We start from the raw sequence: 19743 nt of genomic DNA, 5'->3' as shown, positions 1-19743 counted from the left end.
CCATCTCTACTAAAAATACAAAAATTAGCTGGGCGTGGTGGCGGGCGCCTGTAGTCCCAGCTACTCTGGAGGCTGAGGCAGGAGAATCACTTGAACCCAGGAGGTGGAGGTTGCAAGTGAGCCAAGATAGTGCCATTGCACTCCAGCCTGGTGACAGAGCAAGACTCCATCTCAAAAAAAAAAAAAAAAAAGAAATAGGCTGTTAGGAAGTCCTGTGGAGAAAGCAGGCTATAACAAATGAATCTAACAATATTACAAACGCATGATACAGCCTCACTGAAAGAGTTGCATGGAGAAGTAGCTGACCTAAGCAATTTTGGAAGACAGCCTTTTGACTGGATACTGTAAAACTAAAGAAAATTGTATATTAACACAGTATTCTAGGTAGTAAATTTGTTTCTCAGTAATTTTGAAACTACAAGTATAATAAATAGATAGATATGTTGTAGATAATGAAAGTTGGGGTCTCACTCTCAGAGAAAAAAGTTACAAATAAGCAAGGGGGGAAGTTAGAATGAGCCTTGTGGAGTAGAGTGGGAGGTATCAGTATGAATGTGTGCGTGTCTATGTATACACATGTATAATACACTAATCTGTTTAGCTATATTTTTTCACTCTGTCTTCTGAGAAGCCCTAGAAGCAGTGACACCCCAGTATTTCTGGAGAAACGCCTGAGAAATTCTAGGTCTGGAGCCAGGAATACACAAAATAAGGCTGGAACATCTTGTAGCACCAGAAGGAAAAGAAAGGATGGAGGCGTGTAAGAAGGACATGTGGTGGGCTGAATAATGGCCCCCAAATATGTCCAGATCCTACTCCCCAAAACCTGTGAATATGTTACTTACATGGCAAAGGGACTTTGCAAATATGGTTAAGAACCTTTAGATGGGAGATGATCCTGGATGATCTGGGGGCCCGAGGGAGTCACAGTCGTCCTTATAAGAGGGATGCAGGAGGATCAGAAAGAGGAGAAAGGAATGTGAGGATGGAAACAGAGGTCAGAGTAATGTGCTTTGAAGATGGAAGAACAGGCCACAAGAAGTTGCACCTATAATAAAATGTCAAATAAGATCTAGAGGCTTCAGGAGAACCTGAGGTTATCTGTGGAGGGTGGAAGGCTTATGCTGAAGTGGTCCCCTGAGAGCAAAGATCAGGAGTAAGGGATGATCCCCTTGTACTCACTTGCAGAAGTGACTTAAAGCTGCTAAAAGGATGTGTGTCAGGGCTTTGGCATTCTGCCGCAGACATAGAAAGACCTGATACTGTTTTGACTTCCTGTGTCCCTGTAGGCATTCAGCGGCCAACATTTGTATAGTACTTTATCTTTCTCAGCTTATTTCTAATTAGCGATAATTAATACTCTTAGTATTAATACGAGTTAATTTGTAATTCTTACAAAAGAGTGTGAGATAAATGAGCATGTGCTGTCTTTAATTTCCAAAGGAGGAAATGAAAGGGTCCATGGAAGATGAGCTGTAGCTGTGGAAGGAGCAGAAAAGCCAGAGGGTGGCTCAGGAGTCTGGTGTTATATATGATGACAACATTTTAAAAATAAGAGGTGAGGAAAATGGGAGCACACTTTTTGGAAGATTAACATAAATGTAAAATGATTTACAGAACAGATCAATGGAATTCAGTTAGGTCTCAGATTTTACTTTCCCCATTAGGGATGTATGTAAAGAAAGGGCATGTTGGCCGGGCATGGCACATGCCTGTAATCCTAGCACTTTGGGAGGCCAAGATGGGCAGATCACCTAAGGTCAGGAGTTTGAGACCAGCCTGATCAACATGGAGAAACCTCATCTCAACTAAAAATACAAAATTAGCCAGGTGTGGTGGTGCATGCCTGTAATCCCAGCTACTCAGGAGGCTGAAGCAGGAGAATCGTTTGAACCTGGGAGGCAGAGGTTGCTGTGAACCGAGATCACGCCATTGCACAGCCTGGACAACAAGAGCAAAACTCCATCTCAAAAAAAAAAAAACTAAACTAAACTAAAAAGGAGGGGGACATGTTGAGGCAATAGGAACTTGAAGTACTTGGGATGGTTCATTAATTTCCCTACGAAACATCTTTGGTTCATTAATTTCCCTACGAAACATCTTTTTTTTTTTTTTTTTTTTTTTTTTTTAGACAGAGTCTTGCTCTGTTGCTGGGGTGCAGTGGCATGATCTTGGTTCACTGCAACTTCCGCCTCCTGGGTTCAAATGATTCTCCTGCCTCAGCCTCCCGAGAAGCTGGGATTACAGGTGCGCACCACCACACCCAGCTGATTTTTGTATTTTTAGTAGAAGTGGAGTTTCTCCTTGTTGGCCAGGCTGATCTCGAACTCCTGACCTCAGGTGATCTGCCTGCCTCAGCCTCCAAAAGTGCTGAGATTACAGATGTGAGCCACTGTGCTTGGTCAAAACATCTTAATTTGACCTTTTTTTTTTATTCACAGACCACTTTGAGACTCAACACTTACGACATTCATAGAAGAAAATGCACAAAGGCACATGCATAGAAAGTTTTTGTATAACTTCCAGGAATTCATGCCCCCAGTCCAGCCACAGCAACACGTGATTGTAATGATGATTGCATTTCTGAAGACTTTTTAAAAGCATTTTTTTGGATAGAAGAGTTAAAATGTTGTGAATTCTTGATAAATTGAATAAGCAACAAATACACTAGCAGTCACTAGAGGGTGATGTTTTCTAGCATACAACATCAAGTTCTTTCCGGCAGGTTGTCATTGTAAGTTCCTGTGTATGTGCTTGCTTGTGTGTGTGTCTGTGTGAAAGAGACAGAGGCACACACACAGACTGTCTCTACCTGCATAACTAAAAGAATTTCTTTGTGCATGTTTCTTTTTTCTCCGTTTCACTTATCTATAATACAAGCAAAAATGCTTTTTTTTTTTTTTTTTTTTTTTTTTTTTTTTTGCGACAGATTCTTGCATGTTGCCCAGGCTGGAGTGCAATGATGCAGTCTCAGCTCACTGCAACCTCTGCCTCCTAGGTTCAAGTGATTCTCCTGCCTCAGCCTCCCGAATGGCTGGGATTACAGGCGCCCGCTGCCACACCCGGCTATTTTTTGTATTTTTTAGTAGAGACGGGGTTTCACTATGTTGGCAAGGCTGGTCTTGAACTCTTGACCTGGTGATCTGCCCGCCTCGGCCTCCCACAGTGGTGGGATTACAGGTGTGAGCCACCACACCTGGCCAGAAATGCTATTTTTTTAAAGCCTTCTCCCACCTGTTCTACAGATGAATTCTGAATGTTTTCTAATATATCCTTGTTTCTCATCATCCTAGGAATAGCTACCAATTATGAGCACCCACTGTGGTTGGCTGTGCACTGGGTGGCTTATGAACTTTACCCCTCATCCCTACAACTGCAGCGTGGGCTATTTCATAGATTAGGACATGATGTGTAAGTAGCTGGCTCAAAGCCCTCCATCTAGTAAGTTTGCCAGTATATCATCAGTTCATAGTAAACTAAAAAAATGTCTACTTTATCCAAACTTTTTTGTTTATAAATGAATTTTTGTCACCTGGTATGTCTTAGATATGATTTGAGACTTTTTGTTGTTGTTGGCATAGCTTTAATAAAATTAACATAAACTTTGACTTTGTATAGGCTAGGAGGAAGGAGAGACTGAGGAGTACTATGTTTGGAAGGAAAGTTGAAGGTAGGGCAGCCGGATGGTTAGCTTTGCAGATACCAGGCCAGTGAGAAGAAAACAGCTAGTTCAATATTTTGCTTAGGATTGAGCCCTGATGGTTGGATACTAGCCATCTGGGGGGTGGTGGGTGGGGAATCCTTTTGGGAGAACGGACGGAGTGTGGGAATGAGGCCCTGGCCAGGCAGATGTGTGCCAATCTGACACTGTTCATTTCTTCTGTTGTTTATGCCAGTTCAGGCAACACGGAAGCTGTGTCTGTTTCTCCTGTCATTGTAAATGCAGCCCTGGTCTTTCAAAAAGCTGTGGTTGTGTGGGTCTTTAAGGTATTCCTTCAGTAATTGTGGTGGCCACTATTTCATTTAAGGAGTTAGCATCTTATAAAGAAAAATCTGTTTTCTCAAGGCTCTATAGTAATGATATTTTGTTTAAGTTTGTCCAATATGGTATTTAGTTCTTCCTATTAAGGAGGAGTCTCTAAACTTCAGTCTGTGGGCCAAATCTACCTCCTGTTTCTGTTTAATTATTTTATTGGGGGGGGGTGATATTTATCCCCTCAAGCATTTATTCTTTATGTTACAAACAATCCAATTATATTATTTTAGTTATTTTTAAATGTCCAATCTAATTATTATTGACTGTAGTCACCCTGTTGTGCTATCAAATACTAGGTCTTATTCATTCTTTCTAACTAATGTTTTTGTACCCATTAACCATTCCTTTCCCATTCCCCATCTCACCACTACACTTCGCAGCCTCTGGTAACCATCCTTCTACTCTCTGTGTCCATGAGTTAAATTGTTTTGATTTTTAGATCCCAAAAATAAATGAAAACAAGCGATGTTTGTCTTTCTGTGCCTGGCTTATTTCACTTGACATAATGATCTCCAGTTCCATCCATGTTGTTGCAAATGGCTGGACCTCATTCTTTTTTATGGCTGAATAATACTCCATTGTCTATAAGTACCACATTTTTTCTTTATCCATTCGTCTGTTGATGGACATTTAGGCTGCTTCCAAATCTTGGCTATTGTGATCAGTGCTGCAGATATCTCTTCGATATACTGATTTCCTTTCTTTAGTGTATATCCCCAGCAGTGGGAGTGCTGGATCCTATGGTAGCTCTATTTTTAGTTTTTTGAAGAGCCTCCATACTGTTCTTCACAGTGATTGTACTCATTTACATTTCCACCAGCAGGGTACAAGGGTTCCCTTTTCTCCACATCCTCATCAGTATTTGTTATTGCCTGTCTTTTTGTTATAAGCCATTTTAACTGGGGCGAGATGAGATCTCATTGTACTTTTGATTTGCATTTCTCTGATGATCAGTGGTATTGAGTACCTTTTCATAGGCCTGTTTGCCATTTGTACGTTTTCTTTTGAGAAATATCTTTTCATATATTTTGCCCATTTTCTGATCAGATTATTATATTTGATTTTTTTACTATAGAGTTGTTTAAGCCCCTTATATATTCTGGTTATTAACCCCTTGTCAGATGGTTAGTTTGCAGATATCTTCTCCCATTCTGTGGTTGTCTTTTCACTTTGTTGACTGTTTTCCTTTGCTGTACAGAAGCTGTATTTGTTGTTTTTGTTGTTGTTGTTGTTGTCGTTTGAGATGGAGTCTCACTCACTGTGTCGCCAAGGCTGGAGTGCTGTGACGCAATCTCTGCTCACTGCAACCTCCGCCTTTTGGGCTCAAGCGATTCTCCTGCCCCAGCCTACCGAGTAGCTGGGGCTACAGGCACCCGCCACCACGCCCGGCTGATTTTTTGTATTTTTAGTAGAGATGGGGTTTCACCATTTTGGCCAGGCTGGTCTTGAACTCCTTACCTCAGGTGATCTGCCCACCTCGGCCTCCCAAAGTGTTGGGATTACAGGCATGAGCCACCACGCCTGGCCTTGCAGAAGCTTTTTAACTTAATGTGATCCCATTTGTGCATTTTTGCTTTGGTTGCCTGTGCTTGTGGGGTATTATTCAATAAATTTTTGCCCAGACCAATGTCTTTGAGAGTTTGCCAGACATTTCCTTGTACTAGTTTCATAGTTTAAGATCTTAGATTTAAGTCTTTAATTCATTTTGATTTGATTTTTGTTTATGGTGAGAGGTAGGGGTCTAGTTTCATTCTTCTGCATTATGGATATTCAGTTTTCCCAGCACCATTTATTGAAGAGACTGTCTTTTCCTCAGTGTACGTTCTTGGCACCTTTGTGGAAAATGACTTCACTGTAGGTGTGTGGATTTTGTTTCTGGGTTCTCTATTCTGTTCCATTGGTCTATATGTGTGTTTTTATGCCAATACCATGCTGTTTTGGTTACTATAGCTCTCCAGTATAATTGGAAATCCGGTAATGTGATTCCCCCAGTTTTGTTCTTTTTGCTTAAGATAGCTTTGGCTATTCGGGTGTTTTGTGACTCCACATAAATTTTAGAATTTTTTGTTCTTCTCTTCTCTTCTCTTTTTTCTTCACTTTTCTTTCACAGAATCTTACTCTGTCACCCAGGCTGCTCTGATGCAGTCTCTGCTCACTGCAACCTCTGCCTCCCAGGTTCAAGCGATTCTCCTGCCTCAAGCCTCCTGAATAGCTGGGATTACAGGCACCCGCCACCATGCTGTTCTGTGCGGGAGATGCCTAAGGGGGGAAGAAAAACACACACACAATACCTTTAAGGGTAAACAAGCTTTATCCCACGTAAAAGGCAATGCAGATATAATAAACAAATGATACAATAAACAAATTGCAATGAAAAGGGGAGAAGGGAAAAGATATATATATATATTTTTTTACACTCACCAAACTATGGAGGATTCATCACCAGACCGGGAAGCAACAGCCTGTGCTCCAGAGTCAGCCACTGGTCCATGCACAGCGAGGGAAGGTCTCATGAAGTTTCGGTGCAGTCTGGGACTCTAGCTGTTTTTGTAACAAGTTGTTTGGCATGAGACCCAGTCACAAGTGCCTTCGTGACTGGGCTTAAGGAACACAAAAAGGTCACAACTTGTTTTTGCGATTGTCTATTGTTTTTCAATAACTGACATGTAAGAATAGATTGAAATAGAGATTTCTCTGAAACAGCGCTGGATGAATGCCTCAAGGGGCTCACTCAACCTGTTTCAGGACTTGGTGACCATTGTTTGTGTCCATGTTCAATTGAGTTCAAATTTAATATTTAACTTTTCCTCCACACACACGCCCGGCTAATGTTTTGTGTTTTTAGTAGAGACAGGGTTTCATCATGTTGGCCAGGCTCCTGGCCAAATCTCAAACTCCTGACCTCAGGTGATCCACCCGCCTCGGCCTCCCAAAGTGCAGGGATTACAGGCGTGAGCCACTGCACCTGACCACCACCTAAACTTTCCATGGCCACACTGTTACAGATCCTTATTCACGACATACAAACAACCTTCTTCACTCAGCACTGGGCACCAAACTATGTACTGTATAGTCATAGAAGCAGAGGCTATGACTTTTATTCATTCATTCATTCATTCATTCATTCAGCAGATTGTAGTATCTTCTACTGATGGTGGGCTGGATACTTCTTAGGCACCACATTGGGCCTATTGCATCATGGGCTCATAGTAAAAGTTCCATATGTCCAGGAATGATGTAAAGCCAACAATGGAATAATGCGAGCAACTATTTTTCTAGAAGAAGTAGACTTTACCAGAATGCCAAAATGGGCTGCTAAAGGAAGGGCAGCCCATCAGTGCTGTCACCAGCTCCTGAAACCCCGGGGCCTGTTTACTCCCACCATTGCAGTGGAGGACATGTCTGAGCTTCCTGCTTGGCTTTAACCCCCACATTAGTTCCTTTGTTGTTTCAGTGTAAGTAGCTTGGGTAATGTGCAGAGAATTTCTTTGCCTTGTATTATTATGAGAATCAACTGGTTGGGTCATCAGTTCCTAGGGAGAGGCTAATGGGAAGGTGATCTATAGAGTGTGATAGAAGACAATCTAGCTTTCTTGCTGCATCTTTTCTTCGTTCAGAACATCAGCTTCTCTTTTCCCTCCCAACTCCCAGCAGGATATTCCTGATTGAAAGAAAGGCCAAGAGGAGAGAATGAGATCTAGCAAAATTGTAAACAAAGGAACAGAGCCAGAAACCTGTTTTACATTCATATAAAATGTTACATTGATTGATTAAACAGTTTAAAAATATCTTCATAGTATATGGTACCTTTGATCATAAAACCAGGTCATGTTAAGGTGACCTCTATTGAAGAGTTCTATTTAGGGTTACTGTGTGCCAACCACCCTCATTAAAATAGTCACAGATGTAAGTAGAGGAAACCAGATAAAAGGAAAGATCTCTATCTGCTTCCCCGTAGTAATCCTTACATAGCATAACTTGAGTTAAGAACAGCCAGATGGAAGAGATAATGGGGCAAGGTGTGGGGAAACAGAGCAGAGCTTCTCTCCTCTGGGAGCGCCACCCTCCCAGCACCTCCATATGTTCAGCAACCCAGAAGTTCCCCTAAACTGTCCTATTGAGTTTTTATGGAGGCTTCTTTTCATAGGCATGATTGATTTGATCATTGACCACAACTCCTCTCCCTTCCAAGGGGTTGGGGCTGGAGCTGAAAGTTGCAGCCTTCTTATTGCATGGTTGATTCTCCAGCAGCCACCCCCACACCTGTCACATTAGCCTACAAAAGACACTTACCACTTCAGAGAGTCCAAGAGTTTTAGGAGTCCTGTGCCAGGAAATGGGGGCGGAGACCAAGAATAGATTTATTATTAAAAGTCACAATATGACAGGCAGTTTCTTTAAAACCTAAGCATTCACTTACCATACAACTCAGCAATTTTACTGTTGGGCATTTATCCCAGAGAAATAAAAATATATTCAATACAGAAATTTCTATAGTTTCATTCACAGTGCCACAAATTGGAAGGAAAGTACTTAAATGCTCTTCAGCGGGTGAACAGTGAAACAAACTATGCATCCATGTCATGGAATACTACGTGGCAGTAAACAAGAGCAAACTGTGGACATGTGGAGCAACTTGGATTGGTCTCAGGGCATTGTGCTGAATGAAGATGTCACATGAACGATTCCATTTGGTAACATTCTTTAAATAACAGAATCATATAAATGAAAAACACATGAGTGGTTGCCAGAGGTTAGGAGTGTTGGAGTGTGCAGAGGTATGTGATGGTCAGAGATAACATGAAAGAGAAGTCTGTGGTGATGGAATAGTCCTGTAACTTGATAGAGGCTGTTGTTACAGGAAGCTGCCCATGTGATGAAATGACAGAGACCCGCACACATGCATTGCTGCAATGTCAGATTCCTGGTTTTGCTCCTGTACTGTAGTCACGTAAGATGTGAGCACTGGGGAGACTGTGAGGGAGAATTCTGAGCAGAAGGCTCACGTGGCTTCCTGCCTCCTACCATGCCACCCCCACCGGATGCATTAAATTTCTGGTCTGAGTCAGCCTGCCTCTGTCCTCATCCATCTGTCTGTCTGTCTCTTTCTTTCCCTCCCTCCCTGCCTCCTCACTGTTTCACATGGTCATTGTAAAAAAGAAACCTAAAAAATTAGGAAATGTAGATAAATTGAAAGGAAAAATTTTAAACCATGAGGTTGTTCCTTTCTTATTTAAATATGGTGGTTCCCTTGTTTCATCAGCCATAGGCTTTGGGCCTGGGCAGGATCTGTAGCCCACAGCCTTTGAATTCTTGACCTATCCTCTGAGATTTTTAGGATTCAAAGTAGAAAGACTTGGTCCCCTGCTTCCAGTCCTATCTGGTACCCACTCCCTCATCTTTTCTGGCTAACCATTGTGCTTCCCAGTAATTATGTTTAACATTTTCTCACATAGGGATTAACAACATAGGCTCTGGACTCAGAGTGCCTAGGTTTAAATCTTGACTCCACCACCTCCTTAGTAGTTATTCAGTCTCTTTGTGCCTCAGTTTCTTCATTTGTAACTAACACCTATCTCAGAAGCCGTGGGAAGGATTAAGGGATGTGATAGGAAGCACTCACTGACTCTTGGATATCATTATTTATGGTTGTTACTTGGTGTCTCTGGCTGCATTTTGTTTGTCGCTGCTGGTTCCGTGACTGTCCATCAGTGTGCCTTGCGCCTGTTCTGTAGATTTTATTTCACAGTCTCTTGGTTTTGGTGGGTGGCACACTGCCCTGAGAGGACGGGGACGTGAGAAAGATTCTGAGCCCTTTAGTTGTCTCTAGTGCTACATCATGATTGTCATCATTGCTGTAAACCAAAAAGTATATGAGACAAGTCTTACTCAATTTAGAACATGTATTTTGCCAAAGTTAATGACGCACCCATGACACAGCCTCAGGAGGTCCTGACAACATGCGCCCCGGGGTGGTCGGGGTACAGCTTGCTTTTATACATTTCAGGGAGACATGAGACATCAATCAATATATGTAAGATGTACATTGGTTCAGTCCAGTAAGGTGGAACAATTCGAAGTAGGGGGTTTCCAGGCCAGAAGTAGATAAGAGACAAAAAGTTGCATTCTTTTGAGTCCTTGATCAGCCTTCCGATGAATACACAATTGTGTCTGGCTCAGTGAACCTACATTTTTACGTGAACAATAGGGCAGAGGAAGCAATCAGTTATGCATTTGTCTCAGGTGAGCCTCAAAGGGATGACTTTGAGTTGTGTCTGTCCTTTTTCCGTAAGGAGTTTTCTTGCGGGCAAATGGTGAGGGAGGGATGTAGGTTGTTATCTTTGTAGCTATCTTATTTAGCAATAAAACAGGAGGCAAGTTTGCCTGACGTAGTTTCCAGCTTGACTTTTTCCTTGGCTTAGTGATTTAGTTTCCTTTCGCATTGCTAACTCAATCACAGGAGACAGGAGTGTGGACTGAATATAGCAAGAATGCCAAAGTATGTAACAGTTTCCTTAGTCATGATAGAGACTGAGAAACATCGGCTCACCTAAGCTTTGAGGTTAGCTGGAGTCCAGTAGAAGAGTTATAACTAAACACTGGCCCTTGTCTGTTTCCACTTGTGCCCATTCATTGAAGCTGAGATTGGACTGAGTACATTTGTGACTATGTACCAGTAGCAAAGGTGATAGAAGTCAAACGTAGCTCTTAGTTTTAGGGGCTCATGGCCTCCTGGGGAAGGGACCCATCAGGCATAGCTGGCAGTCATGGCCAGGGTTGTGGAAGCCCAGGTCCAGGCAGGGTTCAAATGCTCCTCAGAGTGTGCCAGCAGCCTCAGCCTCAGGGAGAGCTTGTCAGGGGGATGTTTTACAAGGTCTCCAAAAGCCTCTTATGCCCTCCAGAGTGAAAAGCACGGCATTGTTGATGAAGTCTTGTGGCAAATATGCAAGGCACGTGTGGATATTTCTTTCTCTTGGAGGCTTACAAGGTAGCCCCGGTCTCCTGGTGCAGTGTTTATAGCATAGTCCACTGGGACTGCCGCTCTGACAAAGACTGTGTCACTACTTTGTGGAATGTTATTTTAGAACTTCCAGAATGCCTCAGTAAATCCTGACTGCCATGTAACTGTGTACTGTGCTGCTGAGCTCTTAACATGAAGCAGCAGCAGTGACCCTGGCGGGCCAGGCTGACGTGCGTGGGAACAGTGGGAGTGACCCTGGCTGGGAAGCAGGGAGGCCTGGATATTGTTTCTCCTGGCTCTGTGTCCTGCCATTCTCATCCCTGTGCTCAGAGCTCTCAAGCACCCACGATGGCCTTCTCAGGCCGAGCGCGCCCCTGCATTATCCCAGAGAACGAAGAAATCCCCCGAGCAGCCCTTAACACTGTCCACGAGGCCAATGGGACCGAGGACGAGAGGGCTGTTTCCAAACTGCAGCGCAGGCACAGTGACGTGAAAGTCTACAAGGAGTTCTGTGACTTTTATGCGAAATTGTGAGTGTCTCCTCTCCTGGAGTGCCCTCTTCCAGGTCCAGCGTTCTTGGCTGTCTGTTCAGGAGCCATCCTGAGCTGGCCCATACAATTTTATTGACTGGACTTTGGGTGGGAGTTTTCCAGGGTGGTAGGGCTCCGAGGGGCTCGCAGCGCAGCATGTTTAGGGAGACAGGAGACTGCCTTGTCGGTAAGACATGCAGCGACACGCAGATGGGAGGGAGGTGCTGCCCTCACTGTGAGAGCATGGCGGCCCCGTCTTCAGTAGGTTCCTGATCACTTGGTAACTAACTGCATTTTCATCATGTCGTCCGCAAGGGAGGCTTAGTGTTGTCATTGTCAGTAATTACGTTAGAAAAATTCTGCAGTCTAAAACGGCCCAAAGATAAGGGGCAGATGGGTTGGGACAGTGAAAAAAACAAATTACAGACTGTTGGTAAAGATAAATATTTTTGTTTTGTGTAATAATCAACAATTTGAAGTAAGCTAACTGGGTTTCTTAATTGAATGAATAAATATATATATCGTATAAGTAGCAGCTCAATACACATATAGAACATACTGTTAACTCTAAAAAGCTAGGCTAATTTATATTATTAAATAGGTTTTAGCAAACACATTTTTTTAAGAAAATGCAGAGTAGCCATCAGACCAGCTCAAGATTATTGACCTCATTCAAAGTTGTGAGCTTAGAATTACTGCGTATCCCAAATTTGTCAAGTAAGAGTTAATGAGAATTTAACTGACCCGGTTCTCTACTTCCATAATCCGTGCTCTGTGGTACAGATGTCACTTATCTTCACAACTCACAGAGAGCTCTGTTTGACAGTAACTGGGGAATTGTAATAATACAGTAACCAATATTTTGACTGCTTGGTGAACTCTCAAGAAGATTTTTGGATTTATACATTGCTGCATTTTAGGACCAAACAATTTGTTTTGCATACTTGAATAATGGAAAGCAAGATATCAGTTGTGCTGTGTGAGGTTGATTTGTGGAAGTGGATCAGCTTCATCAGTCATGCCTGGCCTGACTTTTACATATAAATATCTATCTATAGATAGATAGATAGATAGATAGATAGATAGATACTCCCCCACTTACATATTTCTTGTCATCAACACTTTTTAGTGAAAATCTTTTTCTAAAAAATTAGCTAATTAATTATAACTAATCTGATGGTAGCTATAACTGTCACTAATGACTTTTTTAAAGTAATTTCTGTCATCTGTAGTATTAAATATAAAATCAACATTTAAAAAAAAAACAACAACAGGCATTGTGCCAGAGGGTCAAAGGCAAAAGAGGAAAGGGAAGCCTGACTGGTTCAGGGGGCAGCAAGGTGATTGTTCTGTTTCCTTTTTCCCCCTGCTTGTGATGAAAAGGAATACTTCTTGCAAAATATATATTATATTACCTCTAAAACTAGCGGATTTTTCCTGTGTGTGGGAAGTAACTGTGTGCTTGTTTTTATGATGTATCTACCTATTTCCTAATTCTACTTGAGTATTTGAACTTAAGTAGAAACAATCTATATTATAATGAGTTTAAACTGGTCAGTGATAATCAAACGTTTTAATCTAAGGGCCTCTTAACACTCTTAAAAACTATTAAGGTTCCCAAAGGACTTTCATTTATCAGTATTTACCATATGAGAAATTGAAACTGGGAACAATTTAAAATACTTATTAATTCATTTAAAAACAACACTAAGCTTATTACGTGTTAATAATAGTAAATGTTAATATTAATGTTGTCATGAAAAATAACTGTTTTCCAAAATGGAAGAGGCTTAGAGGAAAGGATGGCATTGCGTTACATTTTTGCAAATCTTGTTAATAAAAGTTTCTCAGATTTGTTTCTGCATTCAACCTATTACAGTCTATTGTTTTAGATGAAATATATGAAGAAAACATGGCCTCCCACAGAGATGTAGTTGGAAAAGAGGACTTTTCTGCCTCCTGAAAGGGTCATGGTGACGCTGACATTTTGAAAACGACTGATTTAGGTGATAATGATCCAGGACATTCTAGAATATTCTTTTTGGGCTTTTTTAGAGTCCCATTAAGATTGTTGAGGTTTGGTGAATCTTTTGAGAGGGTTTAGAATTAACAACAGAGCCATATATTTGAGCAGCATCTTACGGTTTCCAAATAGCTTAAAATACTTTTTCCTCAGAACAATAATGAGAACAGCACTGAGAATGACCAGGCAGATGTGGAGCTTACCGTGCTCCTTCATCCAGGAATACCTGTGGACTTTGGTCAGAAAGAGGGAAGAAGCACAAACCCCTCCAGAGTTTTGTAAAACTGCCACAATCATCTGGCTTACGGCAAAGCTGGGCGATGATGAGAATTTTACAGATTTTTTCCCCAACCTACAGTAACTTTGAAATGACAAAATGGAAATTCATTTTAACATGAGGCTTGGGCCAGGTTTACTGAGCAGTGAAGGTGCTTCCCTTTCTCCCTTCCTTCCTTTTTTTTGTGACATTTTAATTCTGCATTCAAACCTGTTAAATAAAGTTGAGCTTTGACTGGTCTGAAGTGATGAACATGGTGTGTCTGCACGCAGTTATTTATGGCAAGGCTACAAAACAGGATGACTGTTTTGTGAAACATTTTGGGGAGAAAGGCAAAGGGAAAGTTGTCTTCCAGAGGTGTGGAGGGGAGTGAAGCAAGTAAGTGGAACCACTTTTGCTAAGGAAACAGCAAAACTTGGAAACCAATAGGGGCAAGGCAGTTAGTTACTCTGTTTATAGAATGGAGACTGTCTACCTGTCTGTCTCACTAGTTGGTTGTGAAAATTCAGGAGAACATTGGTAATAACTTCATGAAGTACATTGATTAAATATCTGGAAGGTCAGAAGCTGTACCAGGGAACTAGACACACAGGTGTAGAGCTCATGCTGTGGGTAGGCCTGTGAAAATAAACTTGCCAAAAATTGAAGGACCGCTTGGCATGGGGGACCTTCTCCATTTCTAGGACTTTTAAGAAATAAATAGGTCTTCACGTGAAATCCTCATCTAATTGTATGCCTGTCAAAGCCATGTTGCTTTTCTTTTCCTTTTTCTTTTTTGAAATGGAGTTTTGTTCTTGTTGTCCAGGCTGGAGTGCAGTGGCGAGATCTTGGCTCACTGCAACCTCCGCCTCCCAGGTTCAAGTGATTCTCCTGCCTCAGCCTCCCAAGTAGCTGGGACTACAGGCATGTGCCACCACACCCGGCTAATTTTGAATTTTTACTAGAGACGAGGTTTTACCATGTTGGTCAGGCTGGTCTCGAACTCCTGACCTCAAGTAATCCACTGTCCTCAGCCTCCCAAAGTCCTGGGATTACAGGCGTGAGCCACTGCAGCCATCTGCCATGTTGCTTTCCTTCTTCCAAACTGCACAGTGGTTAGAGCCTGAGATTATTTATTGAATGCCTTCTGTGTTTTAAGGTGTAGTGAGGCTACCGATGGGGGAATTTCCCACGTCACCAGCCGCAGCAGTGGTTACTTGACAACTTGGTGTCACTTTCCTAACCTATGAAACGTGGTGGTATCCCTGTCATGTCCTTTCAAGTGTTTGAAATTCGTGGTGTAATCTGTTTTGATTGACAGTGTGATTTTATGAGCAGGGGACCTGGATTTCTAGTCCTGCACCTTCCTTTAACTAATTAGCCTTGTGATGTTGGTCTGATCCTTCCATCTCTGTGAACCTGTTTTGCCATCTGTAAAATGATCTTTATTATGTAAAATTCTGTGATTTTAAGATACATTTTATAATATTGGTAATCAGGTTCGTCTTACCGATTAGGTAACAGGACTGGGGCATCTTGGCTGGTTTTAAGGCTACTTAAGCAGTTGTTTTCTACGGGATTTAATCAAAGGGATAACCCGTGTCTAGGTTATATGACATGGCATTTAGTTGACATGCATTTTAGATTCTGTTCTCAGAAGGGAAAGAAACTGGCCTTGAGATGTTGACTTTTGGATATTTTAATTAAGCTACTTATTAAGCTATAAACCCAATTCCTTGAGAGCAGCTTGTAACTTTCATCTCTGTCTCAGGTGCCTAACACATAGTAGGCACTCACTCATAGTATATTCAGCAAGAAGAATGCCAAAAATGTTAGAAACAGAATCAAAGTGGGACACCCTTACAGAGCCTCAGATGCTACGGTAAAGAGGCTGAAGTGTCCGAGTTCAGAGCATGTAAGGAACAAGCAAGAAATTGAGCTTTTTAGATAAAATAGGGTTTTTGTGATCAGATAGAATTTGCTGCTCGGTTCTTAGTGTTGTTTGATCTTCGATCTAAGAAGTGGCTGACGGTCTGCAACCTGCTGTTCTTTGCGTGTTACAGCAACATGGCCAACGCCCTGGCCAGCGCCACTTGCGAGCGCTGCAAGGGCGGCTTTGCGCCCGCTGAGACGATCGTGAACAGTAATGGGGAGCTGTACCATGAGCAGTGTTTCGTGTGCGCTCAGTGCTTCCAGCAGTTCCCAGAAGGACTCTTCTATGAGGTGAGTTGCACTGGACAAAAGCAGGGAGGTGCCATTCCCCACCCTCCCGCTTCCTGCCCTTCTTTCCTGAGGACTCCTCCTTCATGTTCAGTTTCATGATGAAAGACTGAAGTGCCACATGCATGCCAGGTATTTGATAGCTGTGAGGTCAGAGGTGGCATCTCTATGGCCCATATGGGCAGTGGCGTGATTGGGACACCCTCACAGACCCTGCATTTGTATTGCTCAGTTCATCGTCCTATTTCAGAACCCAGAGTCCCTTATGACAGAGCCTTTCAGACCTAAGCAGCTCAGCTCCACATAGAAAATTCTTTCCGAGTCTTCAGCCACACTCAGGCCCCCCACACACCTCACCCACTCCTGTCTCTGTGTCTTTCCCCCTTCTCAGAGGACCACTGGACCTGCTCTAAAGGAGAGCGTGCGGTGTACGTCACCCCCTCCACAACTTCCCAGCCTCGAGCCAGGAGCGTCCATGCATTTATTTTCTAAGGGAAAAAAAAATAAGTATTTTAGGGAACTATACTGTCTACATTTAGCTCTCCTGGGTGTCTATGTTCTTTTCTAAATATTTGTTTTTCTTGATCCTCGGGTGTTAGCATATGGTCTGCACTTCCTTTGTAGTGTATTTGGTATTCTCAACATTACCGAAACCACTTTCTTGTTGTTTTTTATTGTTTTGTTTTGTTTGAGACAAAGTCTCATTGTATAGCCCAGGCTAGAGTGTAGTGGCATGATTATAGCTCATTGCAGCCTTGAACTGCTAAGCTCAAGTGATCCTCCAGCCTCAGCCTCCTGAGTAGCTGGGGCTACAGGCACGTGCCACCATGCCCGACTAATTTTATTTTTCATAGAAACGGAGTCTCCCTATGTTGCCCAGGCTGGTCTCAAACTCCTGGGCTCAGGTGATCCTCGGCCTCCCAAAGTGCTAGGATTACACGCATGAACCTCCATGTCTGGCCCACTGAAACTCCTGTCTCACAGTAAACATGTATTTTGGGGGATAATCTAGAGATGCTGACCCCAGGCTATAAATGACGGTGAGAGTGAGGTGTATGTGTGTGTTAGATCAAATAGGTAATTTACTTTTACCACCTTACTTCTTACATATTTGTACGTAAATGCACATCTATATATGATAATATATGTATATAGAATTATTTTATAGCTGGAGATGGCTGCTCTTTGATTTCTTCTTTTGCCTAGCAGATTTTTATGTTTCCCTGTTATATAAACCATGCTTGAGCAAGGAAAGGTAGTTGACAAAGATCATTGGTAAGTCCATTGTATGCCACTCCGGCAGCATTTTCCCATAGAAACAAACATGAGAGTGGGGTTCCCAGGCCAGCCCACAGAAAAGCTGTTTACCCCATCATGGGTACATGAAATACAGGGCTAGCAAGTATGTAATAATGTCAACTTGGAAACAGCTTTAAGGGTTTGGGTTAAGGAATGCTATTTTATTCACTAGCACACATTTTTTTAAGCTCCTATTGTGTCCCCAAAACACACATTCCCAACAACAAAAACCTTAGCAGTGGAAAGAGGTTTTCGTTTTCTCTTTTCTTCTCGTTCTTTTTTTTTTTTTTTTAAGTTTATTTCTTTAGGCCTCCAAACATGCTCTATGTATCTTCTTACAGTTCTTCCTGTTCTTCCTGACTCCTTCCCTGGGCAGTGGGAATCTTTTGGACAAGGATGATGGATTTAGGGATGGGCAAATGACAGTTGTGAAGATGGACAGGAGCAGGAGAGGCCAATGTACCACAGCAGAAGAGGGCAGGAGAGGAGCTCCAGAGGTGTGAATGGAGGCATCAGGCATAGAGACCCCCTACCGAGGCTATAGGTAGACTGTGATTAGCTGGTGAGGAGAAGGAATAGGAAATCCCTAGGTGCTGCGGCAGCAAGAAGAGAGGGCATTTGCTGGTGGTAGTGGTGGTGAGCCATGACTCAATTCAGTTAAAGGGACCTGAGGACCTGCTTCTACCTCGGCACCGTGGAGGCCTGGTGGGACTATGGCAAGGAAGGAGGTGAGACTCCCAAGGCACATTGAAGGGAATTCTGGAAAGCTGGCTTGGAGAGAGCATGGTCTTCTCACTATATGAATTCCTTCTGTATCCCTCCCTTCTTTTTTTTTTCTCCTGTAGTCCAGAGAGGTTGAAATGTCTGATAACATAGCAGGTTTGCGACATGAAAGAGATGAGAACCTAGCTGGTCTCCTAGTATCCAATACAATATTCTTTCCCTTACATATTCTTTTTAAATATAAGATATTTTTATTGAAATGGGTGATTATGACAAAGGCCTTAGGAGAGCTCGGTCCAGGGGAGCAATAGAGAAGAACTCAGAGAAAAAGACAGGCTTTGTTTTCCCAAACATTTTCCTTATATCCCTGGCTTGCTCTTTCCCCTGTGAGCACCCTGGAGCTCCAGCCCTCCGTCACCTTCTTTCTCCCATTTTGCCTGTGACTTAGGAACGAACGTGATGGTTAAGCTACCTTCATTAAGCAGCATGACCGCTTCCTGAGCTCCTGCTGCCGCATTTAGGCCCTGTCAGCTGTGAGGCCACTGGTGCTGAGTCAGAGGGAAAAGCTCAGAACAGCCTTGAGCAGCGAAGAATAAAGCATGACTCATCTCGTCCTGCCCACCCCTCACACTGGACTATAAATACCCTCCCTGGGTCTGTGTGCTGTTATTCCAAAAGATGCGATGAATACCCAGAACTAGGCTATTCATGGGCTGTTGCCCAGTTCAAGCTCTATTGGGTCCTGAGGAAGATTACTATTTTGGCTACATTGTTTATCATTAAAACCAGCCCAGGGATGTGTAAACCTGCATCTGGAGAATAAGACATTTCTTTTTGGTTAAATGATATTAGAGAAAAAAAAAACTATCCAAGGCTGCTAACAAATAATCTTCACTTTCAATTATATCCAGCAATAAGTTGTTCTCCAGAAAAGAAAGCTTGGAAACTTACCCAGTTTGCCTTCCATTTGGGACATGACTGATGTGCTTCAGTCTTTGTATAATAAATGCATCTTCGCCACTCTATATCTTTGTTATTGCTTTTGTCTCGTTATCACAACAACTTCCTTCCCTGATTTCCACAGCCTCTATTTTTTCTTTTCTCTAGAAGACTAGTTAGGAAGACTTAGAGGTGGGGTCTGTGCACTCGCTTCCCCTTGAAAATGTGATTTACTTTTATGGTATAACTTTCTGGTACTTTGAATTAAATAGGACATTCTCTTCCCTTTGGCCACAGAGGCAAGTATAGAATGAGATCCTTGTTTCCTAACCACTTACCAGAACATATATCTGAAGAAATGAGCACCAGTATTTCTGTCTCAACTACAGTTTCTCTTTTTTTTTTCTTTCTTTTCTTTTTCTTAAAACAGGGTCTTACCGTGTTACCCAGGCTGGAGTGCAGTGGCACAATCATGGCTCACTGCAGCCTTGACTTCCTGGGCTCAAGCAATCCTCCCACCTCAGCCTCCCTAGTAGCTAGGACTACAGGCACACACCACCACAGCCAGATAATTAAAAAATTTTTTTTTGCAGAAACAGGGTCTTGCCCTGTTGCCCAGGCTGGTCTCGAACTCCTGAGCTCAAGTGATTAGATGCCATTTCCCCAGGGAAATACCCTTTCAACCCAGAGGCCCTAACGCTAACTATAGTGGTTCCTAAATCTTTGTGACATCCAGCATTATCTCCAGTAAAAGAA

General features: G+C 42.5%; 1 protein-coding gene across 8 annotated transcripts in view; it reads left to right on the top strand.

The window, feature by feature from the left end:
* The first annotated feature begins 11048 nt into the window (after positions 1-11048).
* Positions 11049-19743, top strand: part of LIMS4 (LIM zinc finger domain containing 4) — a 113949-nt gene continuing 105254 nt past the window's right edge. For 6 of the 8 annotated variants that reach the window (XR_007068194.1, NR_038099.1, XM_017003105.3 and 3 more), the window contains exons 1-2: positions 11049-11527; positions 15870-16029. Coding sequence is in view for 6 of the 8 variants with exons in the window: in XM_017003105.3 (XP_016858594.1) it covers positions 11346-11527; positions 15870-16029 (342 nt within the window). In the remaining 2 variants the exon portion in view is untranslated. Of the gene's footprint in view, positions 11528-15869; positions 16030-18496; positions 19074-19743 lie in introns of those variants that run through there. The other 2 variants (NM_001205288.2, NM_001371340.3) reach the window with 2 other exon arrangements.

The sequence above is a fragment of the Homo sapiens genome, chromosome 2 (genome assembly GCF_000001405.40).
Source record: "Homo sapiens chromosome 2, GRCh38.p14 Primary Assembly".
NCBI classification, from domain to species: domain Eukaryota; kingdom Metazoa; phylum Chordata; class Mammalia; order Primates; family Hominidae; genus Homo; species Homo sapiens.
Note: the sequence above shows the minus strand (reverse complement) of the source record. Positions and strands in the feature narration are given on the sequence as shown.